The sequence below is a fragment of the Homo sapiens genome, chromosome 1, assembly GCF_000001405.40.
Source record: "Homo sapiens chromosome 1, GRCh38.p14 Primary Assembly".
NCBI lineage: Eukaryota > Metazoa > Chordata > Mammalia > Primates > Hominidae > Homo > Homo sapiens.
This window is the reverse complement of record NC_000001.11, coordinates 150,218,417-150,238,985: the sequence shown is the minus strand read 5'-3', so window position 1 is coordinate 150,238,985 and position 20,569 is coordinate 150,218,417. Positions and strand designations below refer to the sequence as shown.

Below are 20,569 nucleotides of genomic sequence, written 5' to 3'. Positions count from 1 at the left end.
TGTTGGTCAAGCTGGTCTCAAACTCCTGGCCTCAAGTGGTTTGCCCACCTCAGCCTCCCAAAGTGCTGGGATTACAGGCGAGAGCCACCGTGCCCCACCTTAACTTGGTTACTTAACCTCACTTTTCATTTTGCCATTTAAACCCTACCTAATTACTTCAGCTTAAATAAAGAGTGATCTGATCTGGTACATGTGTTTGGCTTTGGCTTTTCTCCTGACTAAATTTCACTCTTTTTTTTTTTCTTTGAGACGGAGTCTCGCTCGTCTCCCAGGCTGGAGTGCAGTGGCGCGATCTCGGCTCACTGCAAGCTCCGCTTCCCGGGTTCACGCCATTCTCCTGCCTCAGCCTCCTGAGTAGCTGGGACTACAGGCGCCCGCTACCACGCCCGGCTAATTTTTTTGTATTTTTAGTAGAGACGGGGTTTCATCGTGTTAGCCAGGATGGTCTCGATCTCCTGACCTCATGATACACCCGCCTCAGCCTCCCAGAGTGCTGGGATTACAGGCGTGAGCCACCGTGCCCGGCCCTATGGCGTACTTTCTGCAGCCACTATTCAATGGTAAAATGAGTTCATGGCCTTTCTTCACATTGATTATTTCCAGGATACAATTTAATCCCAATCATCATCTTTTATTTGAAACCCTACCATTAATAATCTCTTCCATCTCTTCTTTGGCTTCCATACATTTTTTTCCTTCTCTACCTACTCCTCAGTTTCATTGAGGACTTTGGTAGACAGTCCCTCCCTCTTCTCTTTTCCCCTTCAACCATGTTTTGCTCTCCTTTGCCTGAGAATCTTATGTACATGCCCTATGGGATTTTATTTATTTATTTATTTATTTTGAGACAGAGTCTCACTTTGTCGCCCAGGTTGGAGTGCGGTGGCGCCATCTCGGCTCACTCTGTCGCTCAGGCTCATTGCAATCTCCCGCTCCTGGGTTTAAGCGATTCTAGCCGGGGTTACGGGCGCGCGCCACCGCGTCCCACTAATTTTTGTATGTTTAGTAGAGATGGGGTGTCACGATGTTGGCCAGGATGGTCTCGAACTCCTGACCTCAGGTGACCACCCGCCTTGGCCTCCCAAAGTGCTGGGATTACAGGCGTTAGCCACCGCGCCGGGTCAGCATTTACATTTTAAATGTAATCCTCTTTGAGGAGCAGTGTGTCTCTGAGTGGGGTGGAGTAGGGAAGGTGGAGTTGTGAGGAGTCTGTGTTGGAAAGCCAAAGATCTCTAACCTGAGAAACAGGAAAAATAGCAACCAGTTCTGGGAGGCATGGGACTAATTCCCCCACTTTCCACTTCCTTCCCCAAATCATTTGGAATTTATTTGGTTATTTATCCTGAGAATGGTGTAAGGGAATAAGAATGATATAATTTAAGCAAGAGCTAAGAAAAAAGTTAGACCGTCGAGACAAAATTTTAAAAGATAATTCTTTTTATTTTTGAGACAGGGTTTCGCTTTTGCTGTCTAGGCTGGAGTGCAATAGCACGATTTCGGTTCACCGCAACCTCCGCCTCCCGGGTTCAAGCAATTCTCCTGTTTCAGCCTCTGGAGTAGCTGGGATTACAGGCGCACGCCACCACACCCGGCTAATATTTTGTATTTTTTGTAGAGACGAGGTTTCACCATGTTAGTCAGGCTGGTCTCCAACTCCTGACCTCAGGTGATCCAACCGCCTTGGCCTTCCAAAGTGCTGGGATTACAGGTGGGAGCCACCACGCCCGGCCAAAAGATAATTCTTATCCCACTCTTTTGTATCCCATCCCACATAGACAGACTGTTTTTTTTTCCTTCTTCTGTTTTGAACATTAAATTTTAATCCCCTGAGGGGGTGCACTGTTCCTGGAGGTACTGCAATACCAGATCGATGCGTGAAGTGAACAAGCAAGCTCCTATTCCGTCTTCCTGCTCCCCAAATCCATTTAATATATTGGACTCGGATAGAAAATATATCAGATATTAAACTGTTAAGAACAGATCCTACACTTGATCTTAGCCAAAAGGCAGAGAAGCGATAAACACTTTTAAAAGCACACTTTACCTACAGATTTCCATGGAAACCAACCAAAGGGAAATTAGAGCGGCATCGCGGTGCCATTTCTATGCTAATTAATGTCTGATTTTCATTAGGACAGCGTCGTTTTTCCTCCAAGGTCTTAGTGTTTATTACAGCAACAATTAACTCAGTAACAATTCCTCCAGGATAGTTTTATTTAAATATTACTAACTTACATACTGCTTTCACCCAACTGCTTTCAAAATTGTTGTCTTTTATGGTGTTAACCTACCATCTTTAAAATCTCGGCTCTAGCTCTGCATCACGGAAGGTCAGTCTCTGTGAAGAGCCTGACCCCAGCAGGACAATGCCACGAAGGCATCTTTTTAATGTGATGCGCACGTTGCTGTACACCTTGGTTGCAAAGCAGAGGCTATGCTTTTAAAACGGCCAAGAGCCAGTGCGTGCCGTGTGGTGAATTCTCAGTATCGCAAGTTGGGCACGGAAGGATGCTTTCTCCCTCTTTAACACTAACAACAGAATAAAAAACCAAAAACTAAAAACCAAATCCAACAGACAACGAAACTGTCCGAGTGCCTAGGGAAAGCGCGCCAACTACATAAAGAAAAGTAGGGGGGGTACTGGGATTCAAAATCATTTCTCCGGGACGTACACCCTCCTGGACCTATCAAAATTAACTGCGCGCTTGATCGTAGCCAATAGGTACGGAATTTCTGGTCCAGGGCCTCCCTGAAGACTGATAGACCTTTACCTAGCCCAATGAAGTAATGTGACGCTGAAGAATCAACCAACACGTTTGGGAGGTGGGTGGAGTGTAGGCCAGGGGGTTGGCGGTGCCGTGTCATGGAGGCTCAGTCTCTGAGCAGCCATTGAAGGGGAAGGAACTGCGGGTGTGTGTGTGTATGTGTGTGTGTATGTGTGTGCGCGCGTGCGTGCGTGTGTGTGCGCGCGCTAGTGTGTGGACAAGGAGGTGGGGGCAGCTGAGTTAGAGTCCCAACTCTTGGACTCCATTTGCTATTCTCTTCTTTCTCCCCCACACCTATCTGGTGGTGGTAGTGGGCGTTTATATTTGCGTTCCTTTTCATTCATTTCTAAATCTCTTAAAAATTTTGGGTTGGGGGTATTGGGGAAGGCAGGAAAGGGAAAAGGAGAGTAGTAGCTGAAGAGCAAGAGGAGGACATGGAGATGAAGAAGAAGATTAACCTGGAGTTAAGGAACAGATCCCCGGAGGAGGTGAGATGACTCAGCCCCCACCGCTTCCCCATCAGTCCAGTATTCTGAGGATCGGATTTCTGGTGGTCCTGGGTGGGTGTGCGGGGATGGAGTAATAAGTTAGCCCCCATCCCCCCGGGTTAGGGTTGGGGAAATGTTTAATTTTAAGTTTTAAATCATTAAAATCTTCTACTTAAAATGGCGAAGGGTTGAAGTTTCTAGGGGCGTTTTTGTGTGTGCATGGGGGCTTAGCTCCTTTCGGCTTTCATCGAGTCGGGCGTCCTGACCTCGTGGGGGCGGGAAGCGGGCTGGTGGGGGCGCTCCGCCGCTTCGCTCCCGGCACTCCTCCTCCTGGGGGCCGGCGGCGTGGGCGCGACCCCCCAGTCCCACTCAGCCCCTGCCGCAGCCATAGGCGCCTGAGAAGTTAGTCCAACTTTTCTGCAGTGCGGCCAACTCATCTTTTTAGGGGGTGGGCTTCCCCGGCCTCGAGGCCCTGGGCGTCCGACGTCGCGACGGGCGCGGGCTGGGGTCGCTTGCAGGGTCCGCGCACTGTCTGCTCCGGCGGCGCCCACTCCTCCGGGAAGCCGCGCGCGCCGCCCTCTGCCCTTCGCCCGGCGGAATCTGGGTCAGCGGCGGGTTCTCCGACCGCGGGCGAGTTTGGGGACTCGTCGCAGTGACCGGAGGTGGAGAGGGGACGGGAGGCGTAATCCGCTTCTTCCCCCGCCGTGTAACGATATGTGGCACGTCGTGTGGCCGCAACTCTGAATTTGATCCCTGGAGACGGTTTCACAAAACTCAACATAAGGGACGTAGTAGTTTCGTGCTTTAAAGATGGGTTCGCCGAAACTAAATGATGCGCTCTCACTGCTGTCGCCTTAAAGAGACGGGGTTGGGAGGGGCCATGTGAGGCGGGGTCGCGGTCAACTTTTCGGGGGTCGGGTAGGAGGCGTTTCCGCCTCCTTTTCGCGGTTGCCTTCTCGGCCTCACCTACCCAGGGCGAAGGCGCGAGGACAACGCGGGTTGGGAGGCGACCCGTTTTTTCCTTGGGGAGTCCCCGCCCCGTGTGGGGTTTCCCGTCAGTCGGAGCGGCAGGTCGCGAGAGCAGGGCTGGTGGCCAGCGGGGAGCCTCGCAGAGGAAAGCATCAGTCTTGCTGAAATAAGCCTAGAATTGGAACGTAAGGGAGTTGTCTGTAGCTGAATCGACCGATCGATAGAAGGATATAACTGGGGTGGTGTCTGTGCAGATCGGCATAGAGGATGAGCAGGGTCTGTCTGGGCTTTCGCGTCCGGCGTGTGGAGTGGCAACTAAGATTTTTTTTTTTTTTTTAAGTGCCTGTTTTCTGAAATTGGCAGGGGCCAGGGAGAGGAAACAGTTGCTTGCTATCAGGGTCATCCCGGAGATAACTTGAAGTTTCTAGAGCTTATTCTTAGAGGCTTCAGGAAAAAAATAAAAAAACCAAAATCAAACTTTAAAAGCTGTCTCTCACAAGCACACGTTTAGAATACTTTTTGGTGGCTTGGGTTGGAAAATTGAATCCCGCCCCCGCCTCCCCCGCCAGGATTCTTTCACTTAGTGATTGTAGTAATTTCTTTGCCAGTTTTGGGGTGTGCAAGACGTTGCCTTTTTTCAACTTCTTCCGCTGTGTTGTAATAACGGTCTCTTATATTTGTATAGACAGTTTACAAAGCACTTTACCCGTTTGTTATTTACTTTCCTCCTTACGTACTTGTAAGGTGGATTGTGTTGTTCTAGAATCCAAATTAGCAGACAGTCTCAGGGCAGTGAAATGATTTACAGAAGTGGAGGAACTGGTTTTCTGACACCAAATCTAGTAGCCCCCACTCCTCAGCTAAACGGGGAGTCTGAAGACAGAACCAATTCACAGTCCTTCGGCAAACCAACTGTGACTCTAGGCAAGCCATTCTTCATCTCTGGGCCATAGTTTCCTCTTCTCCAAAACGGAGCTCAAGATGCTCTTTCTGGCCACAGAAATAATTATGTCAAAATCATATTCAAATAGAGAAGGTGGCATTCCTTGTTGCCAAATTTTAGCCCTCGGATACCTCAAACAGGTTTTCACATTGGGTATAGAGAACCAGGATCTTCAACCTTTCCCTTAAAGATTAAGTCCATTCAGGCCCACACCAGGAAGTTTGTTACTACAACTCTTACCTAATAGGGAATTCAGCCCCACTCCTTGAGGAATGGGGAAAAGTGCACAGAAATGCTATTATACCAGAGTGGTAGGGAGAAGTAACATTTTGTTAAGAATGTATTGTTCTGGGTGATACCGTTTGGCCTGGATGTGAGAACCAATAACACCCTCTGGGCTGTTCCCAGAAGAGCTTTCTAACGTTTCTTCATAAAGGGTAAGGAGGATTTTTTGAGTTATGATGGTTTTATCAACCAAAGAGAAGGAGGTTTAAACTGAAAAAGTGATTAAACAGTTTCTTCTCTTTGTAGGTTTTTTTTTTTTTTTTTTTTTTTTGAGATAGAGTCTCTATCTGTTGCCCAAGCTGGAGTGCAATGGTGCGGCCTCGGCTCACTGCAACCTCTGCTGCCCGGGTTCAAGTGATTCTCCTGCCTCAACTTCCCGAGTAGCTGGCATTACAGGTGCCCACCATCACGCCCGGCTGATTTTTGTATTTTTAGTAGGGACGGGGTTTCACTATGTTGGCCAGGCTTGTCTTGATCTCCTAACCTCAAGTGATCCACCTGCCTCAGCTTCCCAAAGTGCTGGGATTACAGGCGTGAGCCCCCGAGCCTGGCACTCTTTGTAGGTTTTAGGGCAGCTCACTTGAATCTTTTCCTGGTAGCTCAGGTACTCGCTCCTTGCATAAATATATTATCTGATGTTGAGGGTCCTCCTTATCAGGGTCAGAAACAGGTTTCACATGGGAACTTCTTCAAAGTTTGTTTCTTATGCATCAGTGATTTGAAGCAGGCATTGAACTTTAGTCCAAGTTTAAATTTAAAAAATGGCCAGGCAAGGTGGCTCATCCCTGTAATCCCAGCACTTTGGGAGGCTGAGGGGGGCGAATCACCTGAGGTCAGGAGTTCAAGACTAGCCTGGCCAACATGGCAAAACCCTGTCTCTACTAAAAATACAAAAAAATTAGCCGGGAGTGGTGGCATACGCCTGTAATCCCAGCTACTCCAGAGGCTGAGACAGGAGAATTGCTTGGACCCAGGAGGCAGAGGTTACAGTGAGCCGAGATCGTGCCATTGCACTCCAGCCTGGGTAACAGAGCAAGACTCCATCTACAAAAAAAAAAAAAGAAAAAAGAAATTTAAAAGATTACTTATAGTGATGACTTTAGATTGTATATCAGTTTTGGGGGGAAATGAAAAGGATCCGTGTAAGGGGATTGGTGGGGTTTCTGTTGTGTTGTTATTTTTTTTTTTTTTTGAGACGGAGTCTCCCTCTGTCGCCCAGGCTGGAGTGCAGTGGCGGGATCTCGGCTCACTGCAAGCTCCGCCTCCCGGGTTCACGCCATTCTCCTGCCTCAGCCTCCCAAGTAGCTGGGACTACAGGCGCCCGCCACTACGCCCGGCTAATTTTTTGTATTTTTAGTAGAGACGGGGTTTCACCGTTTTAGCCGGGATGGTCTCGATCTCCTGACCTCGTGATCCGCCCGCCTCGGCCTCCGAAAGTGCTGGGATTACAGGCGTGAGCCACCGCGCCCGGCCGTATTTTGTTTTAACTGACGGGCAATCAAACTGGAGATTGGTGGTTTTAATACATTTCCAGAGTGTCAAGACCCAGGTCTCTACCTAAACAGATTACAAACTAAAGAATCATTAATTAATGTTTTCCCTCTTACAGGTGACAGAGTTAGTCCTTGATAATTGCCTGTGTGTCAATGGGGAAATTGAAGGCCTGAATGATACTTTCAAAGAACTAGAATTTCTGAGTATGGCTAATGTGGAACTAAGTTCGCTGGCCCGGCTTCCCAGCTTAAATAAACTTCGAAAAGTAAGTTGGCATTTACGTGAAGCATCATGATTTCAATGCCACGGCTATATGTCTAGTGTTTGGCCAAATGGAATGACCATTCTGCTTGTTAATTAGAAGTTTTTAAGTTTCTAGAGATAAGAAAAAGTTATATAGGATTTTGAGAATAAGCTCTAATACTGCTTTTATAAATTTATTTATTTATTTATTTTTGAGACAGGGTCTTGCCAGGCTGGAGTGCCGTGGCAAGATCTTGGCTCATTGCAACCTCTGCCTCCCGAGCTCAAGCATCCTCCCACCTCAGCCTCCCGAGTAGCTGAGACTACAGGCATGCGCCACCACACCTGGCTAATTTTTGTATTTTTTGCAGAGATAGGGTTTCACCATGTTGTCCAGACTGGTTTCAAATTCCTGGGCTCCGGTCATCCTCCTGCCTCGGCCTCCCACAGTGCTGGGATTAAAGGAGTGAGCCTCTGTGCCCGGTCTAGAAATGTAAATCTAATAGTGGAATTGCCTTATAATATGAATTTGGATTTAATATATACCAAATATTTTTCTCTACATCATGAAATCCAAATGTAGTACAACTAGAATCCAAGCTGGGTTAAGAGCCCATTATGTAGGTGTTCTAATACATTATTTGGCAGATGTAGAAAGGAATTTGGAAATTAATGATCTGTCGTGATAGTTTCTTGAAGCCAGAGAGAATGACAGTTTTTTTTCTTCAAATTGATATACTTTAAAAATCTTTGATATGCCAGGCTCAGTGGTTCATGCCTGTAATCCCAGCACTTTGGGAGGCCGAGGCGGGTGGATCACCTGAGGTCAGGAGTTCGAGACCAGCCTGGCTAACATGGTGAAACCCCATCTGTACCAAAAATACAAAAGTTAGCTGGGTGTGGTGGTGGGCACCTGTAATCCCAGCTACTTGGGAGGCTGAGGCAGGAGAATTTGCTTGAACCCAGGAGGCGGAGGTTGCAGTGAGTGGAGATCGCACCACTGCACTCCAGCCTGGGCGACAGAGTGAGACTACATTTCAAAAAAAAAAAAAGTTTGATATGATACCTTTACCATTCTTTGTTTTTTCCTTTGTTGAATGTATAGTTGGAGCTTAGTGATAATATAATTTCTGGAGGCTTGGAAGTCCTGGCAGAGAAATGTCCAAATCTTACCTACCTCAATCTGAGTGGAAACAAAATAAAAGATCTCAGTACAGTAGAAGCTCTGGTAAGTGGAACAGTTTTGTCTCTGGACTTGCTTTTTTTGGTTAAATTTTCTGAGATTTGTTTGTGTCTATTAATTTCTATTTAACTCTTAAAACTTAAGAATTTTTTGTATGTTGTGATCTAGGCAGTTACTGCTTTTGTTTCTTTTAGACTAAAATATTCAGATGAATTTTTAAATCAATGAGAAATTTATTTTATCATCAACTTCAGGAGTTGACTATCTGGTTTTAACATTTCCAGTATTTTTTTTTAACCTTCTTTCATTCTTTTTCTTTGCTTCTTGATTATTTTTTGAGTTTTTTATTATTTGTCCCCTTCTTTCCTGGTTTGAGGGAAGGAAAAGAAAAACTGACATGCTGAAAATTATTGCTCTGATTTTGAAAAAAGATTGGAGGCTGGGCACAGTGGTTTATGTCTGTAATCCCAGCACTTGGAGAGGCAGAGGTGGGAGGATCGCTTGAGTCCAGGAGTTTGAGACCAACCTGGGCAACATAGTGAGACCCTGTCTCTACAAAAATAAAAAATAAAAAATAAAAATTAGCCAGGTGAGCTGGTTGTGCTTGATATAATAACCCTTCATTATAAAACTCGAAAAATACAAAAATCATTCTCAATTTCAAATATATATTTTCTGGATCATAAATTAAAAAGAAATGATGTGGTCGGGCACGGTGGCTTGCGCCTGTAATCCCAGCACTTTGGGAGGCCGAGGTGAGCCGATCATGAGGTCAGGAGATTGAGGCCATCCTGGCCAACATGGTAAAAGCCCGTCTCTACTAAAAATACAAAAATTAGGCCGGGCGCGGTGGCTCACGCCTGTAATCCTAGCACCTTGGGAGGCCGAGGCAGGCAGATCACCTGAGGTCAGGAGTTCGAGACCAGCCTGACCAATGTGGAGAAACCCTGTCTCTAATAAAAATACAAAATTAGCTGCGTGTGGAGGCGCATGCCTGTAATCCCAGCGACTCGGGAGGCTGAGGCAGGAGAATCGCTTGAACCCGGGAGGCGGAGGTGTGGTGAGCTGAGATCATGCCATTGCACTCCAGCCTGGGCAACAAGAGCAAAAAGTCCGTCTCAACAAAACAGAACAAAACAAAAACACAAAAATTAGCGGGGCATGGTGGTGCGCACCTGTAGTCCCAGCTACTCGGGAGGCTGAGGCAAGAGAATCGCTTGAACCCGGGAGGCGGAGGTTGCAGTGAGCAGAGATCGTGGCGCTGAATTCCAGCTGGCAACAGAGCTAGACTCCGTCTCAAAAAAAAAAAAAAAAAAAGAAAAAAGAAATAACATGGTATTTTAAATCTTGAATGTAAGTTTTAACTTTACTTTTCCAGCAAAATCTTAAAAATTTGAAAAGTCTTGACCTGTTTAACTGTGAGATCACAAACCTGGAAGATTATAGAGAAAGTATTTTTGAACTACTGCAGCAAATCACATACTTAGATGGATTTGATCAGGAGGATAATGAAGCGCCGGACTCTGAAGAGGAGGATGATGAGGGTAATCGTTCTTAATACTCATAAGTGTGTCATAATTATAGCCTCTGCTGTAGCTGTGCAAATTAGATTGGGCCTGGAAATTTAGGTGTGAAAAAAAAAATCCACAACAAGATATTAGTAAGACAAGAAAAAATTAAAAACCCATAGCTCTAGCCAGTATTTCTTCTTTCAGATTTCCCATAGTTTCAGGGAATTTAATGACTATTATAACATGAAGCTCTGTGAAATTTTATATCTGTAGAAAGTTGTACACCCAGTAAAAGTGGCAACCTCTTAAATAGTATTTTTTTAAAAAAGCAACCACTTATAATAGCCAGAAAGTAGAAACAACCCAAGTGTTTATCAACTGATGAACGGAATTTTTTTTTTTTTTTTATGTTGAGAGGGAGTTTTGCTCTTATTGCCCAGGCTAGAGTGCAGTGGCACAATCTCGGCTCACTGCAACCTCTGCCTTCTGGTTTCAAGCAGTTCTCCTGCCTCAGCCTCCCAAGTTGCTGGGATTACAGGTGCCCGCCACCACTCCCAGCTAATTTTTTTGTATTTTTAGTAGAGACGAGGTTTCACCATGTTGGTCAGGCTGGTCTCGAACTGCTGACCTCGTGATCCACCTGCCTCAGCCTCCTAAAGTGCTGGGATTACCAGCGTGAGCCACCACGCCCCGGCCCGATGAACAGATTTTAGAAATGTGGTTTATCTATACAGTGCAATATTATATCACCATTAATATGAATGAAGTAGTGATACATGCCACATGAATGAACCTTGAAAATGTTCTTCTACGTGAAAGAAGAGAGACACAAAAGACCATGTGTTGTTTGACTTCATTTATATGGAAAGTTCATGGGAAGCCGAGGCAGAATTGCTTGAACCTGGGAGGCGAAGGTTGCAGTGAGCTGAGATCGTGTCACTGCACTGTAGCCTGGGCGACAGAGTTAGACTCTGTCTCAAAAACAAAACAAAAAAGCAAACAAAAAACCATATATATATATATAATATATATATGGTTCAGAATAGGCAGAAACTTCAGGATAGGCAAATCCATTGAGACAGAAAGTAGATTATTGGTTGCTTGATGCTGGGGGAGACGAAAATGGGAGAGTGACTGCCTATGGGTATGGGATTTCTTTTTGAGGGATGAAAAATAATCTAGAAGTATATTGTGAGCATACAGTTTTAGGTAAGTGGATGACTAACAGATCAGATGACAGAATAGCTGTTAGTAATAGGATACTGCTCATTATTATTGAGTGAAAACTTCTTCATCGTAAAAAGAAATTTGATGGATAAATACTGTTATAAAATGATGAAATGATAGATAAGCAGGTTTATTTTTTATTTTAGATTAAGGGGGTACGTGTGCAAGTTTATTCCATGGGTGTATTGCATGATGCTGAGGTTTGGTCTTCTACTGATCCTCTCACCCAAATAGTGAACATAGTGCCTAATAGGTAGTTCTTCAGCCACCCTCCTTCCCCTCTTTTGAAGTTTCCAGTGTCTGTTCCCATCTTTATGTCCCTGTGTCCCCAGTGTTTAACTCCTGCTTGTAAGAGTGAGCATGCAGTATTTGGTTTTTTGTTTCTGCATTAATCCACTTAGGATGATGGTCCCCAGCTGCATCTATGTTGCTGCAAAGGACATGATTTCATTCTTTCTTTATGGCTGTGTAGTATTCCATCATGTGTATGTTCTACATTTTCTTTATCCAGTCCACCATTGATGGGCACCTAGGTTGGTTCCATGTCTTTGATATTGTGAATAGTGCTGTGGTGAACATACAAGTGCATGTGTCTTTTTGGTAGAATGATTTACTTTCCTTTGGGTATATACCCAGTAATGGGATTGCTGGGTCGAATGGTAGTTGTATTTTAGTTCTTTGAGAAATTTCCAAACTGCTTTTCATAGTGGCTGAACTAATTTACATTCCCACCAACAGTGTACAAGCATTCCCTTTTCTCTGCAGCCTCTCCAACATCTCACAAGCAAAGTTTTGAAGTGTTCACAAAGTAAAACAAACTTTAGTGCATGCAATATTTTCATGAGAATCTAGATATATATTGGATACCAGTATTTAGAAGCCATACTTCTCGCATTTGGTTTGTAGGAATAACTAGGAATGTTGTGAAACAGAAATCTTAAAAAAAAAAAAGTATCGCTGTGAGTTACTTTCCACCTATTGGCTTACAAGTTTGAAGTGATTGGGCAAGGGTAAAAAGCATCAACATCCTAGGAAGAAACATTTACCCAGTCATTTACTCATCTTTAAATGATTTTTTAAAGATGGCGATGAAGATGATGAAGAGGAAGAGGAAAATGAAGCTGGTCCACCGGAAGGATATGAGGAAGAGGAGGAGGAAGAGGAAGAGGAGGATGAGGATGAGGATGAAGATGAAGATGAAGCAGGTTCAGAGTTGGGAGAGGGAGAAGAGGAAGTGGGCCTCTCATACTTAATGAAAGAAGAAATTCAGGTGAATACACACTTCTTACCTGCACTGAAAATTAATTTCTAGGCATAGGAGTAAGTACTATATAAAGTGTGTTTTGTAGCAATCTGAGAGTTGTTTCTAAGTTGTGGGTGTGCATATGTCTATCCACCTGTCTTTTTTTTCATTGTCCTCCACCCCAAACTATATCCAGATAATCATAAACACCTATTGATTTTACCTCCCAGATAACTTTCAAATCTGTTACAGCCTCAATGGCATGGTATGGTGGAAACATTTTACAAATGTCTGTGAACCTCAATTTCTGCATTTATAAAACAGATTAGGCCGGGCATGGTGGCTCACACCTGTAATCCCAGTACTTTTGGAGGCTGAGGCAAGTGGATCATGAGGTCAGGAGTTCGAGACCAGCCTGACCAACATGAGTGGGGAAACCCCGTATCTACTAAAAATACAAAAATTAGCTGGGCATGATGGCACACACCTGTAGTCCCAGCTAATCGTGAGACTGAGGCTGAGAATCACTTGAACTCAGGAGGCGGAGATTGCAGTGAGCTGAGATCGTGCCTCTGCACTCCAGCCTGGGCAACGGAGCAAGACTCTGTCTCAAAAAAAAAAAAAAAACAGGTTATATCAACCTCATAGGATTAAGGATTTAACAAGGTAATCTATGTAAAGAATATAGTCCCTGGCACATTATAGGCACTCAAGAAAACTTAAGTTTCTTTCTCCTAATTATCTCTTGCTTATACTTTTGTAGTAGCTTTCTAAATAGTCTGTCTGAATACAGCATCACCACTTAGGAGTATTCTCCACAGTGCTGCCTGTTTAGTCTAATGCAAATGTGATTATACATCAGCCTTCTTGAAACCCTTTAATGTTTCCCTCTTGCCCCCAAGACATACAAGGCCTTTCATTTCTGGCCTTTGCTTCCTTCTGCTTTTTTTTTTTTTTTTTTTTTTTGTTACAGTCTCACTCTGTTGCCCAGGCTGGAGTGCAGTGGTGCGATCTTGACTCACTGCAACCTCTGCCTCCCAGGCTCAAGCAATCCTCTCACCTCAGCCTCCCAAGTAGCTGGGACTACAGGCACACTCCACCACGCCTGGTTAATTTTTGTATTTTTTTGTAGAGACAGGGTTTCACCATGTTGGCCAGGCTGGTCTTGAACTCCTGACCTCAAATTATCCGCCCACCTTGGCATCCCACAGTGCTGGGATTACAGGTGTGAGCCACTGTGCCCGGCCCCTGCTTTCTCCTCCAGCTTCATCTCCCTTGATTCCAAATTAAATGATCACACCAAACTATTTTACCTTTATGGCTGTGTATGAATATGTTGTTCACTCTATCTGAAATGAGCCTCTGATGAACTTTTTGTTTTTTGCTGAGTGAAGCTTGTGAAGTGCACTGATTTTATTTACAACTCCATGGAATTTTACATATGCATGTACTTGTGCAACCACCACCCAAATCATGCTTTGTGAATTCTTATCTTTACAAACCCAACTCTTCAGTTGCCTCATCATTGAAGCTCTCTATATTTTTTCTTAGGCAGTCACTCCTCCATCTGTTACCTCTGAATCGTGATCAGAATTCTATTGCCTACAGACACTTGTAAAATAATTTGGCCACTTCCTGCTAAGTGGTGAGCTCCTTAAGGGGAGTGCCACTCACCTTTGTATCTCAGCATCTAGTACACTGACTGGTACATGGTAGGCTCATGGGAAATGTCAGTTGACTAGAACAAGTTATCTACAGCCCCTGGGAGTTTAGGTTAGTTATTTTCTCCTAATGTTAAATTGAAGTTTATTTTAAAAACTCATAATTTAAAGTATTTTTTATTATTAAAAATAACATCTCTTATTTAGACTGGAAGTTGCTAATATTTGTTTCAATGAGTTTTGCATTGGTTAGATACATAATATAAACGATCAATGACACATATTTGCTGATGAAACTAGTATGGAAAAAATAGGATTTATATTCATTTGGGGTCTTGGCGAGTTAGGAGCTATATATAATGAAGAACAGAACTTTAAGTGTTCTTTTTTTTTCTTTTTTGAGACGGAGTTTCGTTCTTGTCGCCCAGGCTGGAGTGGGTGGTGCGATCTCGGTTCACTGCTACCTCTGCCTCTTGAGTGCAAGCGATTCTCCTGCCTCACTCTCCTGAGTAGCTGGGATTACAGGTGCCCACCACCACACCTGGCTAATTTTTTGTATTTTTAGTAGAGACAGGGTTTCACTGTGTTGGCCAGGCTGGTCTTGAACTCCTGACCTCAGGTGATCCATGCACCTCAGCCTCCCAAAGTGCTGGGATTACAGGTGAGCCGCTGCACCTGGCCCCACCTTTTCCTTTTTTAATGAACAAATTCTGCAACAAAAGCCACATTCAGTCTTCCCCTTTTTTTCTTGTCTCTCCTTCTTCAGTTTAGTCTGCAGTATTTCCTGATTTTCATTGTGTTCCTTTTTATGCTTTTTGCTATCTCATCTATTCCTTTCGCTCCTTATAGCTTACTGGTATTCTGGTATGGAGATGCTTTATTTCAACTGATTGTATAAGAATGATTTCTGATACAGGAATTAGGCAGTTGGCCGGGTGCAGTGGCTCACGCCTGTAATCTCACCATTTTGGGAGGCTGAGGCAGGCGGATCACTTGAGGTCGGGAGTTTGAGACCAGCCTGACCAACATGGAGAAACCCTGTCTCTACTATAAATACAAAATTAGCTGGGCGTGGTGGCGCATGCCTGTAATCCCAGCTAATCGGGAGGCCGAGGCAGGAGAATCGCTTGAACCCGGGAGGCGGAGTTTGCGGTGAGCCGAGATCACGCCATTGCACTTCAGCCTGGGCAACAAGAGCGAAACTCTGTCTCAAAAAAAAAAATAAATAAATAAAAAGGAAAGAGAAAAAAAAGACTACAGATTTAGTTTAGGTTTTTTTTTTTTTTTTTTTTGAGATGAAGCCTTGCTCTTTTCTGCCAGGCTGGAGTGCAATGGCGCTATCTCAGCTCACTGCAACCTCTGCCTCCGAGGTTCTTGCGATTCTCCTGCGTCAGCCTCCCGAGTAGCTGGGATTACAGGCGCCTGCCACCATGCCCGGCTAGTTTTTGTATTTTTAGTAGAGATAGGGTTTCACCATGTTGGCCATGCTGGTCTGGAACTCCTGACCTCAGGTCATCTGCCCGCCTTGGCCTCCCAAAGTACTGGGATTACAGGCGTGAGCCACCGCGCCCGGCCCTTTAGTTAGGTTTTAAAAAGGACCTTTATAAGAATGGCAGAGGTTGTCAAAACACAGAATAACCATAGTTTCTTTGCTCTTGTTGGAATATATTACAAGAAAGAGTGAAAAATCATATGGATTTTTCAATCTTCAAACTGAATATTTGAATTTCAAGGATGAAGAAGATGATGATGACTATGTTGAAGAAGGGGAAGAAGAGGAAGAAGAGGGTGAGTTACATTAGCCATAAACAAATTATAAAATTAAAGACATAGTCATTTTTTATACTTTATTTATTTGTATTTCATACACTTTAAAGAATGAGCCTATAATGCCAATTTTTACTGATCCCTTTGATTTTGCTTTATCATAGAGTGCCTTCAAAGTTATAAAAGTTTTTTTTTTAAGAGTAATTGTCTTAGGGCACTCATTAATTCATAACTCATAAACAGCTTATAACATTTATTTTAAAAACAAATGAAGAGATGAATGGAACCTTGAGCTCAATTTATTATTTTTATAGAGTCTCATTTTGGACAGAGTGAAGCCTTATCTTATAAGAGAGGAGCAGTTGAACTCCAGATAATTAATGCTCTTTTTAGATTTGTTTTCCAGGCCTTTAAAAATTTATATATATATATATTTTTGTTTGTTTGTTTGAAACAGGGTCTTACTTTGTTACCCAGGCGAGTACAGTGATGCAATCACAGCTCACTGCAGTCTCAATCTCCTTGGGCTCAGGTGATCCCCCCATCTCAGCCTCCCAAGTAGCTGGGACCACAGGCACACACCATCATGCCCAGCTAATTTCTGTATGTTTTTTTTTTAGAGATGGGGTTTCGCCATATTGCCCAGGCTTTGTTGAACTCTGGGTTCAAACGATCTGCCCACCCCACCCTCCCAAAGTGCTGGGATTGTAGATGTGAGCCACCATGGCCAACCAATATTTTTATTTTATTTTATTTTATTTTATTTTATTTATTTATTTATTTTTTTTGAGATGGAGTCTCGCTCTGTTGCCCAGGCTGGAGTACAGTGGCCCGATCTCAGTTCACTGCAAGCTCTGCCTCCCGGGTTCACGCCATTCTCCTGCCTCAGCCTCCCGAGTAGCTGGGACTATAGGCGCCGCCACCACGCCTGGCTAATTTTTTGTATTTTTAGTAGAGACGGGGTTTCACCGTGTTAGCAAGGTTGCTCTCGATCTCCTGACCTCGTGATCCGCCTGCCTCAGCCTCCCAAAGTGCTGGGATTATAGGCGTGAGCCACCGCACCCGGCCTATTTTATTTTATTTTATTTTATTTTATTTTATTTTATTTCATTTTATTGTTTTGAGACAGGGTCTCTGTCAGCAGTGAGTGCAGTGTGGCAATCATAGGTCACTGCAGCCTCGACCTCCCAGGCTTAAGCAATCCTCCCACCTCAGCCTCTTCCAAAGTAGCTGAGACTACAGGTGCCCACCACCACACCTTGCTAATTTTTGTATTTTTTGTATAGACGGGGTCTCACTGTTGCCCGGGCTGGTCTTGAACTCCTGGGCCCAACTGATCCTCTTGCCTTGGCAAAGTGCTAGGATTATAAATGTGAGCCACTGCACCCAGCCTCAAAATAATTTTTAAAATTTACTAACAATTGCATTGATGTCAAGCCCTTGGTTTCTTAATCTGTACTTCATGATATGGCCACAAGGGTGCATAGCAAACTGTAATTATGGATTTCTAAGCCTGTTAAGTCTGTTTTCAACCTTCTCAAATTTAAAGAAATTCAGAGAGGAAACTTGAAGTATAATTTCCTTCCTTCCTTCCTTCCTTCCCTCCCTCCCTCCCTCCCTCCCTTCCTCCCACTCTCCTTCCTTTCCTTCCCTCCCTCCCTCCCTCCCTCCCTTCCTCCCACTCTCCTTCCTTTCCTCCCTCCCTCCCTCCCTCCCTTCCTTCCTCTCTTCCTCTCTTCCTCTCTTAGCCTGCCCTCCCTCCCTCTTTTTGAGACAGTCTTGCTCTGTCGCCCAGACTGGAGTGCAGTGGTGCAATCTCGGCTCACTGCAGCCTCTGCCTCCTGGGTTCAAACAATTCTCCTGCCCCAGCCTCCCAGGTGGCTGGGACTACAGGCACCTGCCACCATACCCAGCTGATTTTTATATTTTTAGTAGAGATGGGGGGTTTACCCTATTGGCCAGGCTGGTCTCCAACTCCTGACCTTAAGTGATCCGCCTGGCTCGGCCTCCCAAGGTATTGGAATTACTGGCGTGAGCCACCTTACCTGGCCAATTTTCTTCTGCCATTAACGTTTTTTTTTTTTTTTTTTTGGAGACAAAGTTTTGCTCGGTTGCCCAGGCTGGAGTGCAGTGGCGCAATCTTGGCTCACTGGAACCTCTGCCTTCCAGGTTCATGGAATTCTTCCTTAGCCTCTGGAGTAGCTGGGATTACAGGCACCCGCCACCATGCCTGGCTAATTTTTTGTATTTTTAGTAGAGATGGGGTTTCACCTTGTTGGCCAGGCCTCAAGTGATCCATCCACCTCAGCCTCCCAAAGTGCTGGGATTACAGGTGTGAGCCACCGTGCTAGGCCTTGCCATTAACTTTTCACTAAGATTCAAAAATGTAACCAATCCTCATTTGTTAAAATTAAGCACTTTGCATTTTTCTTTCCACTCTTTAAGAAGAAGGAGGTCTTCGAGGGGAGAAGAGGAAACGAGATGCTGAAGACGATGGAGAGGAAGAAGATGACTAGATCATTCTAAGACCAGATTCTCTAATGTTTCTGGGTGTGCAATAGAGTGATCACATCTTTGTTTCTTCATGTACGATAGCTATCCCTACAGAAGATAATGTGTAACTTTTTATAGGAAAAGTGTGGTTTTACTATTTTTGCCTTATCATTCCAAATAAGAACTAGTCTGTTAATGATCATATTGTATGTAGAGAAAAATTTTCATTGACTCCCATTGTGGAATTCCCTAGCAATTTATTTAGACTTAATTTTTTAAATTCAAGCTTACTGTATTAGTCATTTTTAGCCCATAATTAAAACATGATCACTTTTACACAGGTGTAGTATGGTGCATTTCATTCCTTATTTATAAATTAACTGAAATTACAGTTTGCTATAATATAAAATGACAATAGTCTCTTGAGTGGTAAGTTGGTTATTTTTTTAGTAGGTGATCCAGGAATCTTTAGTTTGAAGGCAGTTACCTTTTTTTTTTTTTTTTTTTGACTAAGAGTGTTTGGTTGCTTTTTTGTCACAAGTAACTTGGAAAATAGAAGCAGAATAGTAAAGGTTCTATTCAGCAACATAGTTCATGGATTTTGTGGAGGTTCTATTCAGTAATATGGTTCATGGATTTAGTGGTGACTGATAAGATTTTATTTTTGAAGGAAAAATTGCTTATACTAAGTCCAGAGACATGCAGGTGAGCCCTTTTGTCAGGCTGCAAATCATGACATGCCGATGGTTGTTTATTTTGTTTTTAGGTGTGCATTCTTTTTCTTCTTAGCAATTCCTTTATGATCACCTTCCCTTCTTGTTTCACTCCCTCCCGCTCTCTCAAAAGGAACTTGGGAAACTTGTGAAACCCAGGAAAACCTTTAGTCTTATACCTCAACTACCTTTCAGTCCTGTCTGGGTTTTAAATAAGTGAAGTAGAAGAAATTGAGTATTTTCTGACATAAGAATATATTATCAATACAGTTTTATGCAGTAAGCTCTCCTTACCATAAATGTTTCTTGGTTGACAACATCTAAGACAATATTAGTGGGATGAAGAAAGAAAAGCAGGGGTGCTTTTGGAAGCAGTGTTAGTGTTCCTCAAAAGTCGGAACAATTGCCTGTTGATATATTAATAAGACATTAAAGTCAAATTTTAATGTTGGCCTCTCAAATGATTTGGATACCACTCTGCAAAGTATTTCTAACCTTTAATTCCCAGTTTTAAAACAGATATAATAATAGCATTTAATTGGAATATACTAGGCAGCTGGAAAAGTATTTGAAACTAAATTGACATTAAAATTAAGATTTGTTTTCAAGTGGATGTCCATTAAAAGTAGAAAAATATTTGGGATAAGTGAGTGTGTGTTTCCTTACATGGCTACTAAATAAAATATAATGAGTATACAAGTATATCTCCTCTTTTGCTATGGAGGCTCCATGTTCAAGGCAATGGCTTTTTAAATCTTGGCTATCTAAAATTTTTTCCCTTTGTTTTGAATATTTGTAAGTTTTTAAGAAGTTAGTGTCAGCAAATTAATTGAAGTTATGCTTCTATACTGGGACATATTTAAATACTGAGTATAGTACTGCTGCTACTGCTTCTACAATGTAAAATGTATGACTTGGTGTTTTAAAGTAAAAATTATGATGTTACTTGTGGAGAAACTAAAAATGTTGTACAACTGACCGAAAGAAAACCCTTGGGGATAAGTTTAGTGAGGGGATTGGAATCCCCAAAAAGATAACATTTTTCTTCTGCTTTTAAAAACTGAAATTCCCTGTTCTAGTTCCTAACAATTCTCATTACATACTATGCCAGATTACAAAATACTTATTTTTAAAATGAAATCTATATATTGACTTTCTTATCAATCATCTTACTGTGCAATCAAAATTAGAGTACTTTGGTTTGAAAACAACACTTAGAGCCTCCAGATAACTTTTAAGACTTATTTAGCTTTGTGGGTGGTATTTTCATGCAAATAAGTAAGGGTGGGTTTTATATTTTGTAGAAGTTTTCGGTCCTATTTTAATGCTCTTTGTATGGCAGTATGTATATATTGTGTTAAGTTCCTCAAGAATCTCCTTAAAAACTTTGAAGTTAATACTTTTGTGCAACTGTGTTTTGAATAAAGCCATGACAGTGTTAAAAACAAACAAAAAAATTTGCAGTACTCCTGATTATTCTTTTATTGTTTTTGACTGTTCCCTGTTTTTTTCTGTGACTGCTGTAACTTAAAGTTTTTGAAACTGAATTGCTTCAAATAAATTGAAGATTTGTTATAATGATTA

General features: G+C 43.1%; 1 protein-coding gene and 1 pseudogene across 8 annotated transcripts, besides 5 other annotated features; one reads left to right on the top strand and one right to left on the bottom strand.

Annotated features, from left to right (window-relative positions):
- RNU2-17P (RNA, U2 small nuclear 17, pseudogene) lies at window positions 1,830-2,019 on the bottom strand (annotated as a pseudogene).
- Window positions 1,923-2,490: an enhancer, noted in NCBI's record as "NANOG-H3K27ac-H3K4me1 hESC enhancer chr1:150208844-150209411 (GRCh37/hg19 assembly coordinates)". NCBI's record gives its function as "activates a minimal SCP1, AML or CMV promoter by ChIP-STARR-seq in primed H9 embryonic stem cells {active_cell/tissue: H9 hESC(primed)}" and the evidence as "EXISTENCE:reporter gene assay evidence [ECO:0000049][PMID:30033119]".
- Window positions 2,507-2,596: an enhancer, noted in NCBI's record as "active region_1676". NCBI's record gives its function as "activates an Ori minimal core promoter by ATAC-STARR-seq in GM12878 lymphoblastoid cells {active_cell/tissue: GM12878}" and the evidence as "EXISTENCE:reporter gene assay evidence [ECO:0000049][PMID:35858748]".
- ANP32E (acidic nuclear phosphoprotein 32 family member E) lies at window positions 2,874-20,569 on the top strand. Of its 8 annotated transcripts, none has more exons than NM_001280559.2 (7): window positions 2,874-3,253; window positions 7,060-7,209; window positions 8,293-8,415; window positions 9,749-9,914; window positions 12,191-12,378; window positions 15,746-15,800; window positions 18,228-20,569. In NM_001280559.2, the coding sequence occupies exons 1-7, from the start codon at window positions 3,200-3,202 to the stop codon at window positions 18,293-18,295; spliced, it is 804 nt and encodes a 267-aa protein (NP_001267488.1). In that variant the 5' UTR covers window positions 2,874-3,199; the 3' UTR covers window positions 18,296-20,569. The 8 variants fall into 8 exon arrangements, with proteins under 8 accessions (NP_001267488.1, NP_112182.1, XP_016857907.1 ...); NM_030920.5 differs by having other exon boundaries at window positions 18,225-20,569; XM_017002418.3 differs by having other exon boundaries at window positions 15,692-15,800.
- Window positions 3,717-3,796: a silencer, noted in NCBI's record as "silent region_1299". NCBI's record gives its function as "represses an Ori minimal core promoter by ATAC-STARR-seq in GM12878 lymphoblastoid cells {active_cell/tissue: GM12878}" and the evidence as "EXISTENCE:reporter gene assay evidence [ECO:0000049][PMID:35858748]".
- Window positions 3,967-4,096: an enhancer, noted in NCBI's record as "active region_1675". NCBI's record gives its function as "activates an Ori minimal core promoter by ATAC-STARR-seq in GM12878 lymphoblastoid cells {active_cell/tissue: GM12878}" and the evidence as "EXISTENCE:reporter gene assay evidence [ECO:0000049][PMID:35858748]".
- Window positions 4,527-4,616: an enhancer, noted in NCBI's record as "active region_1674". NCBI's record gives its function as "activates an Ori minimal core promoter by ATAC-STARR-seq in GM12878 lymphoblastoid cells {active_cell/tissue: GM12878}" and the evidence as "EXISTENCE:reporter gene assay evidence [ECO:0000049][PMID:35858748]".

Excerpts from the sequence above, each read along its gene's own strand:
- ANP32E (XM_005245513.5), top strand. The coding sequence starts at position 3,200 with ATGGAGATGAAGAAGAAGATTAACCTGGAGTTAAGGAACAGATCCCCG. Across the intron at positions 3,254-7,059 it reads GGAACAGATCCCCGGAGGAG|GTGACAGAGTTAGTCCTTGA; the intron begins GTGAGATGACTC and ends TCCCTCTTACAG. Across the intron at positions 15,801-18,224 it reads GGAAGAAGAGGAAGAAGAGG|AAGAAGGAGGTCTTCGAGGG; the intron begins GTGAGTTACATT and ends CCACTCTTTAAG.